Here is a 20021-nt window from a genome sequence, read left to right as displayed (position 1 = left end):
ATACATTAAATGCTATGGTCTGAATGTTTTTGTCCCCCCAAATTTACCAATGTGATGGTGTTAGGTGGTAGAACCTCTGAGGGACGATTAGGTCATGAGGGCAGAACCCTCATGAATGGGATTAGTGTCCTTAAACAAGAGGCATGCATGACCCCCTCATTCTTCCCATCATGTGAGGTCAGAACAAGAAGGTGTCATCTACGAACCAGGAATAGGGCCCACACCAGACACTGAATTTGCCAGCACCTTGATCTTGGGTTTCCCAGCCTCCAGAACTATAGGAAACTAAATTTCTGTTGTTTATAAGCCATCCAGTTTATGGTATCTTGCTACAGTAGCCCCAAAGGACTAAGACATAAACTAATGAGTATAGATGTGTTACAATAAGGCTTTATTTATAGACTCTGAAATTTGAATTTCATATAATTTTCACATCACAAAATATTATTCTTTTGATTTTTTTTTCCAACCACTAAAAAATAAAAATAAAAAACATTCTTAGTTTGCAGGCTACACAAAAACAGGTGGCAGGCCAGATTTGGCCTGTGGGCCATAATTTTCTGATCCTTGATACTAAGCTGCCCTAATTCAAGCATGTATATGCAAAAAACCTACCAACTACAATTTTAGAATTATGTTACTTTTGAATCTAGAGGGGATGGAGTATGCTATTATGTTTTCTGAAATAGAAACTATGGGCCGGGCATGGTGGTGCGTGCCTGTAGTCCCAGCTACTCAGGAGGCGGAGGTGGGAGGATTGCTTGAGCCCAGGAGGTTGGTACTGCAGTGAGCTGTGATCATGCCACTGCATTTCAACCTGGGTGAAACAGTGAGACCCAGAAAAGAAAGAAAGAGAGAAAGGAGAGAAAAAAAGGAAAGAAGAAAGGAAGAAAAGAAAAGAAAAGAAAGAAGGAAAGGGAGGGAGGGAGGGAGGGAGGAAGGAAGGAAGGAGAGAGAGAAAGAAAAAGAAAGAAAGAGGGAGGGAGGAAGAATGGAAGGAAGGAAGGAGGGAAGGAGGGAAGGAAGGAAGGAGGGAAGGAAGGAAGGAAGGAAAAGGAAAGGGAAGGGAGGAAGGAAGGAAGGAAACAAACTATCCTACAGAGACTACTTAAAACTCTTGGCCTCTAAAGTTAATACCAAAATGTTAAATGAGAAACTGTGTGCCTTTTTAATAACCTTTAAACATATTTTAGCTTACCTCAGGAATGACTTAAACCTCAGCAGTGCTCATATTAGCAAAGTATTTTTACGTCCATCCTTGATAGCTAGGGTCTCTCCCCACCCCCCAAGCCAACTAATCATTAAGGCACTGTGCCAATAATAAGTTTCCGTAATATGATACCAGCTATTTCCAGAAGCTTCATTAGAAAATATGTTGAGTCTAAAATAAGTATGAGAACACTTTGGGATCAGAGATGAGATTGCCGAGAACAAGGGTTTAGTCAGCCTTTTGTGAACTCAGCAGAAGTGTGCAAGGTAAGTACTATAAAATCTTATAGGCAGTTCTGTTACTATTCAAAACTGGTTCTATATGTCACTAGATTACAGGGTATTCTTACCAATTCTATATAACAAACAATTTCAAATAACCAAGAGGTTACTCTGATTCCATGATGACACTTTCCACGAGTTGATGTAATCATTCTTGTATGGATAGCCTTGTAAACTGGTGCTGTTAGCCTGTACTAAACCTTTTCCATTTGATTGGCCTCAGAGGGTTCAGATCAAACACCTTCCTTGCAGGCAGTGCCCCCTGTGGGGTGGGGAAAGGAGGGCACAGTCTCCAATATGTAAGCTGGCTCCCTACAACATCTCTAAAAACATCTACAGTGGCTCAAGAACAGTGTTTTTCAAATAGTGGGTTCCTGAACCACTAAGAGGTCATAGGCCAATGCTGTGTGTCACAGAAAGCATTTTTTAATGGAAATGAGACAGTATTATTGAGAACATCAGCAAGCATGGCATGTTTTAGGGATAAGTCTTGTCTTGTGAAAATCTGTTTCTGTTATTTATAGTAACGTATGTGTGTACTGGGTTGTGATGTAAATTTTCTTACTTTACAGGGGTAGCAGTCTAAAAATGGCTTGAAATGCCTGCCAGACCTAAACAGATATAAAAGATAAGCAAGCAATCAGGAGAGCAGTCAGACCTGGAAATAAAAACTGCAGTCATCACTTGATGGCACAGAAAGCTTTGGGATAATTGGCATAATCTAAGAAAAGGGCATCAGGTAGGAGAAAAGTGCCCAGCCTTAGACGATAGGGACACCAACATTTAGAGGGCAGATAGAGGATGAAGCACCAAAACTCAATGAAGGAGTGGCCAGAGAGGTGGGAGGAAAATCATGAGCTGAGGCTCCCTGTGCAAGCTTCTTCTACTGCAGGGAAAACCTGTAAAACTAAAAGTTAAAGCTGGGCACAGTGGCTCACACTTGTAATCTCAGCACTTTGGGAGGCCAAAGTGGGCAGATCACCTGAGGTCAGGAGTTAGAGACCAGCCTGGCCAAAATGGCGAAACCCCATCTCTACTAAAAATACAAAAATTAGCCAGCATGGTGGCGCACACCCGTAATTCCAGCTATTAAGGTGGCTGAGGCACGAGAATTGCTTGAATCCGGGAGGCAGAGGCTGCAGTGAGCCAAGATGGGGCCATTGCATTCCAGCCTGGGGTACAGAGCGAGACACTGTCTCAGAAAAAAAAAAAAAGTGAGTAAGAAGGCATATCTCAATTTCCCATTTTAAAAAAATAAGGCATGAATGAGGAAGGGTTGGAGAATGTTTATAAAGTAAAGACAGTAAAAGATGCTACAGAGCCTGGAAATTTACTTACTTTGCTGATACATATCTAAGAATACTCGCTTGATATTTTATGGTAAGTACTGTATACCAAGAGAGGATGTTGGTATCCATTTAAACCACCTATTTCCATATGTGAAAACATGTGGGAGACTCACATAATGGTTAATCATTTTAGGTTTGTCTGTTAGCGTTCTAAAGGTGCCAAACTGCACCACAGTGAATCTTGTCCTTAAAGTATATTTTCCACGATCTTCTTGCAAATTTCACACTAAATTTCCTGTGAGGAAAGGATAATAGTTAATAACCTGGGAGCAAATGCTTTCAACATAAAGTATAATAGAATAACAGGGTTGCCTTTTGTTTAGACTGGAGTTGTCCCAAGGCTTTATCCTGAGCCCCTGTCGTTACAAGCCACAGCTTCTAATCTTCTGGGCAGCAGCCTCAGTTGGAGGTAAGGGGGGTTCCCTGGAAACAAACATGAAAATCCAGTATCATGACTACTTTAAATGTCTTTGTCTAGTTCATAACTTCTTACAAATAACCTGTCAGTACTCTTGGTCTTAATAATACAGCACATTTCTGTAGTGGGATGCTAACTTTCTTTTTCAATATTTACTTAGAAAAGAGGTAACTACTGCTCAGGACAATTAGTATGTTACAGAATCAGGAGGATGATACTGAAAAACGGGCCTTAAAAATTATCTTGCCAAGTTTCCTCATTTAACAGATAAGAAACTGGAGATTTTTCCAGGTGATCCAGAGGAAAGAACCTGGCTGTCAGAAGCAGTTAGATGAGGGTTTCAATCCCACTTCTATTACTTTTTCATCACACAAAGTCAGTTTCAGTTACCTTTATTTGTAAAATAAAGGTAACTACCAATCTCACACAGGATAATTAAAAGGAAGCAATGTGTTTAAAGCACTTAGCACAGTGCTGGCACATGGTAGGTATTCAAAAGTAAGTCCCTCTCCTTCAGCCCAGGGAAAAGTCCACATTGGGACCTACTCCCACTCCTCTGTGACTTTACCCCCCTCCCCCACAAACACACACACACAAGGAAAAAGACCACAAGAATATATATGTATTTCATCTTTTTATTCGTCCTGATTTAAATATAAAATTAACATTAAGGGGCTTCTTATATAACACACCTAAATTCAAACTCAATCCAAAAGATGGCAATGGTCTAAGGAATGCGTAGAGAAAGAAGAAAACCAAGGTGCCTCAGTGAGACAAGGCGAAAACAAGCAAGTTCAACATCACAGAAGTCAAAGTTGTAATTCCATATAAATGGCTACTGTTATCAAAAGCCAGGAAAAGATCAAAGAGAAACAGAAGCTTAAATAACCCATTGTATTGGCTATAAAAATCAGTGGTGACCTTGAAGAGAGATATTCCAAAGGTGAGGGTAAAAAACTAAAGCCAGTAACAGAAGTCAAAATAAAAATAAGTGCTAGATAAGTAAAATCAATGGAAACAGCCACTCATTTGAAGTGCTCAGCAGTAAGGAGACAAATCAAACAATTATCATGTGTGGGGGCAAGATCAAAAAGTAGGAGATAAGAGCACAGGCTCTGAAACCACACTGCCTGGATTCACATCCCAACTCTACCAAATAATAGCTATGTGACCTTAGGAGAACTACTTACCTTCTCCATGCCTATTTCCACATCTGCAAAGCAAGCTTAAAAACATTACTTCCTCTGCCAGTTATTTTTCTGTTGGTTCTCAATTCTTCTCCGCATTACAAGGGGCTAGAAGTCTATAAACTATATTTTCCAAACTCCCTTGTCAACTTGCTTCCAGTTGGGTTCCACCCATGGGAAACACTGTCAACAGACTGCAAGGTGAGAGAAAGAAAAGGGGCCTTTTTTTGTTTCCTGGTTCTAGCGATACCTCCAACAGCAGCAACAGATAACTGTAGGCTCCATCATCATCTGTGGTGGCTCCAAAGCAGCAGAACCAATGAAGATCTCCAGCAGACCTGCAGGGCATGCACTTTATGCAGCAGTGGACACCTGACACTTGATAACATCCTCTTCTCCTTTTTACTCATTCAACAATCAACATTCATTTACACATTCTCCCTCTCTCTCTCTCTCTCTCTCTCTGCTTTTCTGGTCCAACATTACCCTCCCAACACACACTTTTTTCTTTTTGTTCCTCCAGCCCTTTCAACATCACTATAACCAATACCCTGCATTAAATCTTTCTCTGCTGAAAACATCTATCTAATGGTAGGTTTTTGGTGTTTTGTTTTGTTTTTTTTCCATTTTCCTGACTGGACACTAACTGATAGCACCTACTTCTTACAGTCGTTTTGAAAATAAAATGAGTTTAGAAAGTAAAGACTTTAGATCACTACCTGGCCCCTAGAAAGCACTTTATCAATATTAACAATTGTTGCTCTTCAAGCATCAAACCCACATCCAAAATTGAGTTCCTTGTCTCCCAAACAGAATCTAATTCTGAAAACAGTCCCATCATCCTTTCCCTCACCCAGGCTCCAAATCTGAGGTGGTTTTCTTCACATCATAAGCAAAATCTGCGGGTTCCCTCTTTAGCAAGTCCACCCATCTTCATTCACCTGGTGTACGCCTTTAACTAGCTTGGATGAAGGCACTCCCCCTCCCCAGGGATTTCTCTGCTTGCAGCTTCCAGGTCATTCTACAGGTGCCCTAGAATATTTTTTTAAAGGGGAGGAGAGCGGTCAGATCACGTCATTCACCGCATAAAAACTACCAGTGATGCCCAAGGTCACAAGTCCATTCAGCCACATACGGCCTTCCTGAACCCCTGCCTTCTTTCTTAACAGTAGTTCTCACTATACCTGTCTCCTATTTGCATCCTCAAATCTTGCACCCCAACCACATGAGAAATCTCTGACATTCCCCAAACTCCCCCTTTGGTCCCTCCATATCTGGATGGAATGCCCTCTCTGATCCACTCCCACTGCAGAGCCTTATCCTTTCCATCTCATTGAGAGCTAACTTCTCTTATTCTTCTTAAGCATTTCACCAAACCATCACTATCATAATTTACCACTATGTGTGTTATATGTATTGCGCTCTTAATGAGACTAAGGTTCATTACACCTGAAATGTCCTCTATACAGCAGAGCTTCCCCATATGAGAGATTAAAGTTCCCAGACAGCAAAACCTCAGCTCTTGAGCCAGCCAAAGCCAGTAGTGTCCAATCACTAGCCTGTTAGCAGCTTATCTACAATTAGAAATCACCTCCTACCCCAGTGCAGTACAAATTATTTTCTGTGTGCTATGAGGTAAAAGAGACTGGGAAGCACTGCTCTATAGCGTCTGGCTCAGCACCTTAAACCAAAACAACAGCACTGGTCTTCCACCAGAACTCAAGAAATGTAAAGAACTCCTTCTCCATTTCCAAATTTTTACTAGCAGCATTTCCTTGTACTGGTAAAAGCTCTCAAGTAAAACCATACCAGTTCCTCACCTATTTACAATTTTCTTAATATTTGGAAAGTGAATAAAAGTTAATGAATGAAAACACAGAACTTTTAAATATAAGACGACTATATGTTCCAGACTCATTTGTATTCGTAAATATTAGATTTTATTTTGGACCATTTAACACATAACTGGATTCTAAGACAGTCAACTGGAATTCAGAACACAGTTCCCTATCAAGTGGGAAAATTGTGGTTAGCTTCTTAGGCTTCCATTTCTTATAAATACTTTAAAACAATACTGCTTCAAATAACAGCAGTTAAATACTACTGTCTGGAAAAAAACATTAACTTAAAAGAATGAGGAAATACATGATTTTTTGCAGATTTTGGGGGATCTTCAAGATCCTTTCAAGGGCTTAAAAGGTTCAAGACATTATTTCTAACTTTAAAATTCTACAAGCTGCATTTTCCTTGTTACAGGGCTATCACTGTAGTAACTTTTATCAGCCATGTATAATCACAATTGAAACAAAAAGAACAGGAAAAAGAGAACACTGGAAAAGTAAAGGGGGCAAGGAAATAACTAGAGGCAAAGAAGACATACAAAATGGTGGAACTTAGTTTTAAGCAATAAATGAGAGGAGAGATAAGAAAAACCATCCAGGGATGTTCCAGGAAAGTTGTCAAAAATTGAGGAGGCAACTTTCCCACGTCTGCCATAAGATGGCGCTAACAACCAAGGACAGCTTGGTAACTCATCAACTAGGAAGAGTAGGGCTAAAACAGGTCCTGGAGTAAACAGGAAATTTTTTTTTTAATCCTTCAAAGGTGTAAGGTAAGGTTTCCAAATTTACAGACACTTGTGAAAACATTTCCCTAGCCAACAGAGAAATTATAAAAGGATGGTTTAGTTTTCATAAAGCTATGATTATTCCATTAAGAAGACTGTCTTCTATTCTGAGATTATTTTTTAATTATATTAGAATGTTTTGTTTTAAACTGTAATTACTACATGAGCCAGTTCTGGGTGTGTTTACCCACAGATACACTCTGAGAGCTCTATATCTCAAGTGAGCTGATCACTGCCAGACCCCATTTCTCAGGCTACTAGATCAGCTGGCTTTTCTCTGGGTTCAGTCTACAAGAGGCACTGGTGCAAAACTGGAAGGTGAGAAGGAAGGATTCACAACATTTCTCCCACTCCTTCCATCTCTTCTTTAGGTAGTGTTTCCAGCAATGGCTGCATTGCTTCCATGGCTCCAGCTCCTACTTGCCCCTACCAGGAGGTTTCAGTCTCCTGAGGTGAACCCTGGCTCCTAAATTCCCATAGCCTAACCCTAGTGACTGTATTATCTTTGTGTATTATTTTCGTGCTGCTTTAAAAGCCCTCATCATTCAATCTACCTTGCTGTTTCAGCTGCATAACCTGAATAACCAATACCCTGCACTGAATTCCTGTTTCAAAAACTTAAGGGTAGTTTCTCTTTTCCTGGGTGGACCCTGACCACTACATTAGGCCAGTGGTTCTGTGCGTATCAGAATCACCTGGAATGCTTATTAAAACCCAGATGCTAGGCCCCATCTCCAGAGTTTCCCAGTCAGTATGTCTATGTGAAGCCCAAGAATGTGTATCTCTAACAAATTAAGAGGTGATGATGATGCTATTGAACCGGAGACTACATTTTGAAAAATACTACAAAAAACAAAGAATTGACCATCTTACGTTGGTCTGTTTCTCCTCCTTTTTATAAACTGGATAGTAAAATCCAAGAAACACTGAAACTCAAGAAAACCCATACTTCTTCTGTCTTTACACTATATACATATTATATATATTACATAATTATATATAAAATATATATTTTTTATTTATCAATTATATATTTATATTATATATAAAATATTTATATATATATTATACATATTATATATAATATATATATATAATATATATTATATATTATGTTATATATATTATATATATAAAATATGTATATTATATATTATGTTATATATATTATATATATATCAAACCTGTAAGACAGCTTATTACTATAAAAGCCAACGTTTTTAAGGAATGAGGGTTTTCTCTTTTTTAATTTTCACAGCCAAGTCCAAAGGAATGATTTTTTAAAGTAAATATATTAGGTTGGTGCAAAAGTAATTGCAGTTTTTGCCCTTACTTTCAATAATTTCATTAATAGCATTCATTGTATTTTACCAGAAATAAAATCCCAAATATCATAACCAACCCACTGAACTTCTACGAAAATAAAATGAATTCTAACTCATTGTAAATAACTCAGCCAATGAAGTCTGAAACCTACAAAATAATCAATTGGCAGATGGTTCTTCTGCCTTAAAATTTAAGATAAAAAACAGTCTCAAATAATGTGAAGGGCAACTTAAAAAAAGTGTTTGAAGCTGGGCATGGTGGCGTGCACCTGTAGTCCCAGCTATTTGGGAGGCTGAGGCAGGAAGATCACTTGAACCCGAGTTCGGGGCTGCAGTGAGCTATGATTCTGACACTGCACTCCAGCTTGGACAACAGAGCAAGGCTCCATCTCTGCCGAAACACACACACAGACACACACACACAGTGTTTTGAAACTAAGGTTTAAGAATCACTACAGTGTTTAGATTTATGCTGGCAAAAAGTTAAAATCAAGTATGTAATCAAATCATAACTGAATTGTATACATAAACAGAAAGAACTTATTATGAGACCAAAGGGCCTAGAGACTAGCACTAATTAAAAAATAATGAAGCCACTATGTAATTTTAAATTTCCTAGTAGTCACATTTTAAAAATTAAAATAAACAGGCTAAATTAATTCTAATAATACTTTTAACACAAATATTATCATTTCAATAAATTGTTCATAATGTTTTACATTCTTTTTATTGCACTAAGTCTTCAAACTCTGGTGCATGTGTTACACTTTCAGTAATCTCAATTCCAGCCTGCCACATGGCTACCACATCAGACAGCAAAATTATAGATGAATTAAAATTTGCCAGTCTCTTTACTGAACAGATTGATATTTAGCATAATGGTAGCAATCTACTATCCTTTTCTACAAATTACTTGTAAATTATATTTTTTAAAAGTTTAAAGCTTTAAATGTATTGTTCTCTAACACTTAGTTACAAAACTAAGTTAACATTCTGGCTCCTGCCATCTAATAGTGTGTGTGTGTGTGTGTGTGTGTGTGTGTGTGTGTGTGTGTGTGTGTGTGTGTGTGTGTGTGTGTTTTAAAGTCTCTCAAGAGATTCGCACTGTAAACAGGTAAGCTACATCACTTAGCTACATCAATACCATCACTGCTATTTATTTTTCTAGTCTGAAAGCCGGGGGCATCTCAACTTGACTTTCTCTAGCCCAAAGGAACACCCAGGAGCCACTGTAGGCCTCCACTGGCACCCAGAATAAGGAATTCTCATCTCCTGGGCTTGAGAACAGAAAACTAAGTCACAACTACCAAGCTAAATACCCAAGCTGACGTATCTGGTCCTTTGACAAGGGAAACTGATATAACCCCATCACTAATTCAACAGCAGCAGTTACTCAGTGGGGCTAGTAGAATTGTGATAAACAAAAAATATCAGTCACATTTTTAATGTGATTAAAATAATACTTTAATACTGAATTAAAAACAGGACAAATCAGCTTGAGATACCTTTAATTACTCATGATCTGTAAAATGAGACCAGATTATAAAATTAAAAATCTAAATAGACTACAAAATAGCTCTTACTTTCAGTAGAAAGTAAAATAAAGTACAACATATATTGCCTTAATACAGTTGATGATCAAAATGCAGTCTAAGAATGGAATATATAATAAGTCACTGAATACAGAGGCAGACTATAAGTCATAAAATGGTGCTTTGAGAAACTCCCTCAACTGTCCTTAATATTCAAAATCCAGGGTATGATAATGGTTTACTCTAGAATCAAGTGATGTATGAATTTAAATTAGACCCTAAAGAAATGCAGGGGGATTGAAATGGAGCCTCTAATACCAAACAACTTATGAACCCCTCAAAAATAATGGACTGTTCCTTCGCTTACCAGAAAGTGAGTTTTCTTTTGCACATAAAACTCTTGCCATAAGCAAAAATGTACTTGTGTGTCTATGCAAGAGTAGTGTGATAATTACATACTTTTGGGGCTTAAATACATCTCGTGTCACGTCACACCTAAGGCATACAGTTATTTCATTTTGAACCATTCACTCCAGAGAGTAATTATTCATCCTATAACTTGGTCATAAAATGCAGAGCTTACTCAGTATTTCAGCAATTGTACAGCATAGGTGGATTTTTACATGGTACTTCTATAAATCAGATAACCAAAACATGTACCTTAATAAGTTAAAGTGCTAAAATTATGGTGAGTTATATAGACTTCCTAAGCTTTTAACTTGTGCCCAGTCTACACAGAAAGCTGCAAATGCTACAGGTAGATCCAACTATGGAATAAAGTTGAACACGCAGGCAGTTAATCTGAGCAGGGATAAGTACGATGGCAGCAGGAATGAGGTCACAAGAAGGCATGAAGACATTCAAAAGACCATTCCTGGATGCTGCCTGGAAAGATAACCTTTCCTCATCAGCAAACAGAAGAGTTTCCTAAAACAAAGCGGGGAAAGCACATTTTAAGGCTTGCTCTAAGAGTTAGGTCTTTAAGCTATAATTCGGTAGTAAGAGAATGTCTACAGCATCTGCTGAATCTATCTACAGGGCTGCCAACACAATCCACAAGAACTCGAAGTTGTGCCTTCCAGTAACTGAGGTGTGTGCACCTCTACTGCCTCACACAGCTTGTTATACTCATCTGTTTCTGAAGGATGTCCTACACACATTGCCCCAGTCTCCCACTAAAAATCGAGAAAATGGTAATTGTTTCAAGTCAAAGTATTTATGTCACTAAATGTTGTGACTGAAATTATTTGTAAATGTCCAACAAAGAAAAAGTCACCCTCAACTGAGTGTAGTATCAGCTCCAAGGAACAAGAAGGTACTATATCGTGAATGGGTTACACATCCATTACTACTTATCAAAGAGAAAAAAATAAAACATAATACATTCAGAAGTAGTGAAACACTGCTCAGAGGTCAGGCCACTATATTTGAATGGTATCACAGACCAAGGAGGACTGTGAATGACACATGTGCAAAAAGACAAGCTGCCTCTAGCAACACTTGGAAAACAAAGTACAACATGATCCCACTTGAGAGCTGGGAGGCCTAGGTGTTCAAGTCCAGCACAGACTTCCCAGATGCTCCTGACAAGTGACTTAACATATCTGTTTCCTCAGCCTTAGAATGAGAATACCTTCTCCTCAAAGTTGTTATGAGAGCTAGAAATCATGCTTGTAAAGCACAGAACTGGTACTACCCAAAAGGTGGTCAATATGTTGAGCTGCAACAATATAAAATGGCAAATAAATGTGTTTCAAATGAGAGCTCATCCCAATCCTCATCCCAAACAAGACACTGAAAAATTTCAGGTTTCTCCAAGACCACTTTGAGACAGAAATGACTTTCATGTGGCAGATCATTCTACCCTGCTACTTATGTTAACTTGAGGAAGCAAAGATTAAAAACAAACTGAAAAAAAGCTCAAGCATAAGCAAGAATGCACAGATCAACAGACGGGGAAAAAAAAGTTCAGGCAGACTTGCTATGGCCCACAGTGACCTGCACATGAGCTCCAAGGTCAGTGCCTTGCCCCCATGACCAAACACAGTTGCTCATCCAAGAGAACTGACAAGACAGGAAAGAAGAGAACTGACCTATGCATGTGAGCAAAAGAAAGTCTCGTGCTCTAACTACACACCTACCACCATCTTGCAATCTTTGGCTGCAAACAGGACTGTTTGGTTTTTCCCTGTAATACATGCCAAACAGAATGTATTAGAGACTATGTCATATAAATCCACATTCTAAGACAACTGACCTTGATAAAGTACTTACTGTAATTAAAATAGCATACCGTTTCTTAAACTCAGATTCTAAGAAAGTGCCTCTAACCATAAAGGTGAATGCAAGTGTACCTTTGGAAAATCTGGGAGTGGCCCAAAGTAGCCAAACACACAAAACTAGGCTGTATTTTTCAAACTGGCATATTCTTTGTGTGATGGGTGTGAAGCAATAGATAGATGGAACCACTGAATAAAAGCAATGCCTCCTCCTGGAGAGTTATGAAAATATTCCCAAAGTAAAACACCACTTCCTTCATCCATTTATTCAACAAACTTTTATTGAGAGACAACTATGTGCAAATGGTTATACTGATAGCCATGGATACAAACAGATGTACATATACATATTCACACACATATTTACAGTTTCTGCTCTCCTGGAGCCTACAATCTCATGGGAGAGGACAATCCAAAAAAGAAAAATCACACAAAAAACTATGATTAGGATTCAAAGGAGGTAATTTGTTGCCAGGATTATTTCTCTGAGCCAAGATGACAATTAGGGCATGAACCAAGCACAGAAGAGCATTCCAGACAGAAAAAAGAACATAGGCAAAGGCAGGTAGCAGGGCAGCCTAGACACATCTGAAAGGCAGGAGAGGACATTGTGCAGAAGGTGGCTGAGGGTCCAGGCCAGACCATGCTGGGCCTTGTACACCCATGAATGACTTCAGGCCTCTGAACAAAGGGACGCCACTGAAGGTTCTGCACAGGGTAGGTATGAACAACACCATCCTGGCTGCAATATAGATTCTAAGAGCTGAGCCCTGCCTGTCTAAAGTTTGCAAGCTGATTAACACTCTTATACATACACAAAGTCCACTCTTACACATGCATGTGTGTACAAACATAGCATATAAAATTTTTTTAATGGCGCTCTATGGTACAAATTAGAAGTGCAGAAAGGACACTAACAGGTCAGAAAGGGGGGAAATGCTTGATGTGATGGCTAATCCAGTCTAAACTTCACTGAAAATATTAAACTGTGATAGCAAAAATAGAATGTGGAATAGGTAGTCTGGGTCATATCACCACAACTTTCCAAGGCAAGGATTTATGAGAATACCCAAAAATACAATTGAAAAAACCACAAGTAAGATTTGAGTTCATAATAAGCCCTTAAAATTTTATTTGAAATTATTTTTCTGAATAATTTATTTGTAAATCTTTAAATTGGGGGAAATGCTAACCAACTCTCTTCATTTATTAATGAAAGTTTCCAAAAGAAGGGAATGTAGATCTTAGTGCAGTCATATGACATAAGGAATTCACAAACATAAATCTAAGAGTTGTTCTATCTTCTTCCATCTTCCACTTGCCATGGTACATATTCAGGGAAGCCTGGAAACTAAACCCTAAGTGATGAGGTCAGCCCACAACTGTCCATTCTACACATGAATAACATAGAATTGATTTTAGCTGTCCCTTTTCCATTTTCAGGCAAATTCTAGAGTTCCAAGTGAAGACAAAAATTCATTAGTCACTAGGGTCAAAAACAAGGGAGAAATTAGGACATTAAGGCATGATACACCTCGATGAATAAAAAACATGCTCTGTTTAGCTGCACTAGATCAGGCAACAATTATAATAAACTATTAACAAAAATATATCTGTGGATAGAGAAATTTGTGTTTTAATGGTAATGAGACAGATTTTTTTAAAACAATGTTTCCTTTCTCTAATTATGAAATCAATATATGATTACAGAGTTTTTGAAAAATACAGAAAACTAGAAGAATAAATGAAGGAAATTAGGTAAAACTGGAGTGATGTGTAACAATCTATTTCCCTTTTGTGTACTATTTAGAATTCAAATACTTTCATGTATTCCCATGTGAGCCTCTTAGCAGCCTTACGACAGAGGTGATAAAGATATAATTAGTCCCATTTTATAAGGACTTGAGGAAGTTCAGGGCCAGTAAGTGTCCTGCCTAGAGGCACACGGATAGTAAGACAAGACGCCTCCTAATGGCTCAGGTATCTTCCCCAAGCTCCTGACCATGTGATTAGCAAATGATACGTTACTTAAGTGCAAGTACCTAAAATGAAAGCAGTACCTGTGAACAACAATCTAAGATTGCTAAAACAATACAACTTCAAATAAGAATATAAAATTTACATATCTTTAAATTGAGAAAAAAAATCAGGGGTGGTGACATCAAACCCATGGAGACTGAGAATCTCTTAACTGCTTCCTTTTCGTCTGAATAGGAGATACAGACAGAAATGTATCTCCTATATATGAAAGATTGAGGAGAGCCCACTGACGGAGACCAGAAATAAGCCAAAGGTCACCTTTCAATCCCAAAAAACACCACCTTCCCTCTCTTACTCTCTCCCTATACACACAAGTGCACATAGCGCACAATTCTAAACTGATTTATATCTTGCCCTCTTCCTTCTGAGAAACAAGATGTATGCCTAGGGTAACCATAGACTTTATTATCCAAACTGGAACACTTGTACAAGTGAAAGAGGTGACTGTATAGGAAAAGAGACATAAGCCAAGACTGACTGGACAAATGGGAACAGGTGGTCACACAATATCTGGATAACCCAGCCCTCTCAGGGGCCAAGCACTGAGAGTACAGCCCTATTGTTAAATTATTGTTCAGAAAACTGCTCTGGAGTACCCCATGTTATGCAAATTGAGTCTTAAGCAAATTCTACCTCAAGAGAAAGTCATCAGCATTTTGGAGACCAGTGTAGCAAACCATTCCTATTAATTAGACAGTGTCATTTCACAATGTGTAAGATCTTGTGGGATATTCTGAAGTTATGTGTTTTTTTTGCATATCATCTGTGAGAGGGAGAGTTTTCAAAAACTAAACTTAGTTATACCAATTTCTTTTAAAAATGAAACATCAAATAGAAGGAAAAAGCAATCACTTAATCCCACAAAGGCATTTATAATTCAAAATTATTTTTCTAGGTAACCCAAAAGTACTGTTCTATATGGGAATATTCAAGTTACTTTCTGTTTAGAAGTTGGAATCATCTAATAAATAAATTGCTTTCAGAATAGCTTTTGGCCTGATGCTACTACTAGCAAGTTAACAAGCTTAAAGAAAAGGTCTCGTCAAATGAGAAGAAAAAAAAAAGAAACCCTACACGGTATTTGGAGAAATATATTGATGACAAACCCAGTACTGAAAACCAGCCTACTTATCCAGCAGTCATATTCCTATTCACCTCCCTCAAAGACTATGCCACAGCAATTCACATTCAGAAAATCAAATAGAAATTAGAAACTGGAGCTATTTTTTTCAATTAAGAGAATTTCATGCAGACACCCACAGGGCTGGCATATACTCTAAGGCTATCATTCATTCAAGTGACATTTCAATGTCTACTATGCATATAATGCACTGGCACTGTTAATACAGTAGTTGGCTGTTCTAGATTTAAAATTTGCCAGAATTTTTTTTCAAACTAGCAGATTCATCTTTCACTCCAAAAAAAGACTTTGTATTTAAATGCTCTGTAATTCTCACCCCAAAAAAACAAGACTAGAAATACCTGCTAAACAATGATAAATTCAAAATGACTACTCCATAACAGTGTATGGTAGAGTATTTTTACATCTGTTAGCACTCCATATTTTGATTCAATTTGATTAGACAACTGATGCTTCCTTCATCAAAGATGCTTAGAAATCTACAATCCTACAAAGGATATTCTGATTTCTCATTAAAAAAAACTGTCCCTCATTTTCTCCGATTTTTACATTAACGATGAGTTCCACAGCTGTGTTCTCAAATTTGGAAAAGACCGTGAATCAGGCGAGGGTCAGTCTCCACAACAATCCCTTACAGAAGGGATTGTTCTACCCACATTCACTGGAGAGACAGAATGCCCCTCAATCTAGAAAGGAAGCCAGATTATCTAAATGGATCTGGTTTACTATTACAGATTTTTAAGAAGAAACAGTATGAATCTAAGACATAGAATGTTTTAGGATTATTAAATAAGGCTTCCTGAAAGAGTTGGGTTCAAAGCTCAATTCTAAGACAAGGGAAACAAAAGAGGAAGAGAAAATTAATTGTTGCACAATTGTAAAGGATCGAAGAGGAAAACAGCAACTCATAAATTTTTAAACTAGCAGTTTAAATGTGGTAAAGCCAATAAATCCCTGAAACGACCCTAAAATAGACTGTCATATACTGAACTTTTTACAGATTACATTCTGAACTATAATGTTTCCTATCTTTAACAGGAAGTATGAAGGGGGAAAATCTAGATGTGAAAAGTTTTTATACAAGAATATTAAATAAGCAGCCCAATGAAGTACAAATACCTGAATGGAGGTAGGGGTGAGAACTCTCTATATCTAAATACGGCTACATGAATTTTTTGGTTTTTCAGAGCTTAATCCACCATGGCTTAACCCACTACCACCAAGACTCATCCTACGTATGCTATTTTAAAAATACAAACTACATTCTTTTTTAAATCTTGCTTTTGTTTTTTGTTTTTTTGAGACAGTCTCACTCTGTTGCCCAGGCTGGAGGGCAGTGGCATGATCTCAGCTCACTGCAAGCTCCACCTCCCGGGTTGACGCCATTTTCCTGCCTCAGCCTCCCGAGTAGCTGGGACTACAGGCGCCCGCCACCACACCCGGCTAACTTTTTGTGTTTTTAGTAGAGACAGGGTTTCACCGTGTTAGCCAGGATGGTCTCAATCTCCTAACCTCGTGATCCACCCGCCTCAGCCTCCCAAAGTGCTGGGATTACAGGCGTGAGCCACCATGCCCGGCCCAAATCTTGCTTTTTTTTAATTCAAAAAGATCACATGCTTAACATCAACTTGGTTTCAAAAATACTTCAGGTCTTAAAACCAAGGGTACTATGACACTTATTTTGCCGTTTGTGAGTTTCATGTCGAAAAGTGGACGTTTTCAGCATGAAAACTTATCTTCAAAACTCACCAGGACATTCTATCATAAATTAGGATATTTTCACAAACAATACAGTTTTCTCTTTAATATTCTATATATTCCATTTCTTCCACATCTTTGTGGTCCAGATGCTTAAAGTTGAAGTGGTCCTGGATTTTCATAAGCACGCACAGCTTATTTGCTTCAATAATGTTGTAGGTGAGGCCTTTTTCTCCTAGAGCTGTCCTGTGCCCCCTATGCACCAGAGGTAGGTCTCATAGTCTGGCTCCTCTGCTTGGTTTACAGGGAGATCCAAGTTCACAACAATGGTGACTTGCTTCACATCAATCCCTCCAGTGCAAACATTTGTTGGTATGAGAAACTTCTCATCCTGAAACTTCCAAATGATGGAAACTCACTGCTCCATGGTCAGCTCTCCACTTAACAAAGACACCTGGTGGCCAGCCTGCATCATCTCCATGATCAACCACTTGGCATTTCAATGAGTCTGACAGAAGATGATGGCCTAGCCAATGGTGATGCCACCATAAATGTTGCACAGAGCTTGGTATTTGTCTTTCCTGTTCTTGCACAACACGTAATACTGCCAGATGTTGTTCAAGGTCAGCTCCTCTTTGCGTAACTTGGTAATTTAGGGATGGGTACAATTCACTCAGCAAAATGCCACACGGAGTAGCTATGAGCTACTGAAACAAATTCATACCCAATTACATAACAGTAAATTTTGAATAAACTCATAGTTACTAGCTATTATATCACTAATTGTTGTCTAACACATCTAAAATATAAACTACAAAAAATTTTAATGAAAACAGTGAAAACCTTGAATGAAACTTGAATCTGTACTTTTTTAAAAAATTCATCCATTTTAAAATAAAAGTACTTTGCTACAAATTGTTAAAATGAATAGAGTATTTTAACGGCTTTTTCCCCCACAGTAGTAGTCATTATTGAAAGCAAAAATGCAATACAATCCAGGCCTTTGGAATTTCCTGCTATTTATGAAACAGCTTAAACAAAATGCCTCTTTAGTAAGTTGCTAAGGGAGATCCATGAAAACTGCAAAGAAACTGCTCTGACAAGTTCTAATAAGGAAAGTCATCTGAGCACTTTGCTTATAAAAACTCTAAACAGCACTAATCAAACTACCTACTGGGCTTTGGTTTTAATAAGGCATGTTAAGCTAGAGCTCACATCAATTTACATGACTCACCTAAACAAAACGTAAATTGCATTAAAGATACAAAAGGTAGTCTCTTACCCACTAACATCCAGTACTCTACAATGTTCTATGCATCATATTAAATTATACATATACACATATCTAGAGAGATACATTGATATCAATAGGTCAGCTGACAATCTATCTCCAGGCCACTTTTGAATTATCTACTATAACCTCTAACTACAGAAAGATTACACTATGATATAGTTCAATGAACTTGATATTCTATCCCCAAGATATTCACTATGTTTCCTAATAATTCAGCAAACTACCCAACTTGCTGTCATCCAAAATATAAGAATCTGTTTTAAGATTTAAGAATGTGGGCCAGGCACGGTGGCTACCGCCTATAATTCCAGCACTTTGGGAGGCAGAGATGGGTGGATCACCTGAGGTCAGGAGTTCGAGACCAGCCTGGCCAACATGGTGAAACCCCGTCTCTACTAAAAAAAAAACACAAAAATTAGCTGGGCGTGGTGATGGGCGCCTGTAATCCCAGCTACTCGGGAGGCTGAGGCAGGAGAATCACTTGAACCCGGGAGGCGGAGGTTGCAGTGAGCTGAGATCGCGCCACTGCACTCCAGTCTGGGCCACAGAGCGACACTCTGTTTCAACAAAAAGATGTAAGAATGTAAATAAACTCTAAAACATCTGCCTTCTGTTGTATACTAGACCAAGCAATTCACCTTTCACTAAATCCCTCAACATAAGCTTTCTTATTTCCATAAGAGTAAATTCAGCAGAATTCATCCAATAACTACCTTAAAGATAATGTGAAGAAAATCAGTTTGATTCCATTTCTAGTTATTTGGGCCAATTAGTTTGTGTTACCTTAAGAAGGGTGTCAGATCATTGCACTACTAAACGTTATCCTGCCATCTGATGGATTTAAGAACATTACACCACTACTCACTGGATAAGCAAATAATCATCAGCGTTTCCATTTGTATTCAGTGTAGCTCATGGTACAACACAAATCATCCCCAACATGCCCTCAGTTTTTCTATGTACCTTTATAGAAAGAATACAATTACTATTCTTACTAAAGTCCCTTCCAAAGATACAAATTCACCTTGTGACATTTTTCTTTCCAAAATTACTCAAGAACAAATACAACATATTTACAGATAGCCACATTCTTAAATTCATATATGCATCCAAAAACTTTAAACTCAATTTGCAAACACAATCTACATAACACTGGCTCTAGGGTGTATAGAATCTAGACCCAGATACTAATATTTCAACTAAAACCTAGCTGCTCCCTACAAAAATGAACAGTAAGTTTTAAATATATTACTAGAGTATTAACCAAATCTAAACACACACAAATGAGTTAGCCAAGAGAACAGGGATAACTGTAGGAAAAACAGTATGTGTTTCTTTTTAATGTCTGATGGCACCTATAATTATATAAACTAATTCAGACTCCACAACTTCAACAGCTACAGCAATTTTAAGAACCCCCGAGGCATAGTAAATAAATCAGGCAAATTTCACACCTCTTGGTGGCACCGCAAAATGAAAAGTATTGAGCTGGATTACACGTCTGACCTGACAAGACAATTCTTAAATCTTTCTCCTACCTAAAATAAACTATACATTACATATTCCAAGATTTATGTATGGCTACTATTAAAGATCAATCACTTCTAAAAACATGTACATCCTATTTCAGAAAAAATAAAA

The 20021-nt window shown here is 38.0% G+C and overlaps 1 protein-coding gene and 1 pseudogene across 1 annotated transcript in view; both read right to left on the bottom strand.

Annotated features, from left to right (window-relative positions):
• ZSWIM6 (zinc finger SWIM-type containing 6) overlaps window positions 1-20021 on the bottom strand; it is a 213915-nt gene that overhangs the window by 181266 nt on the left and 12628 nt on the right. The window lies entirely within an intron of this gene.
• Window positions 17009-17781, bottom strand: LOC100421309 (DEAD-box helicase 25 pseudogene; annotated as a pseudogene).

Source organism: Homo sapiens, chromosome 5 (assembly GCF_000001405.40).
Source record: "Homo sapiens chromosome 5, GRCh38.p14 Primary Assembly".
Lineage (NCBI taxonomy): Eukaryota > Metazoa > Chordata > Mammalia > Primates > Hominidae > Homo > Homo sapiens.
Note: the sequence above shows the minus strand (reverse complement) of the source record. Positions and strands in the feature narration are given on the sequence as shown.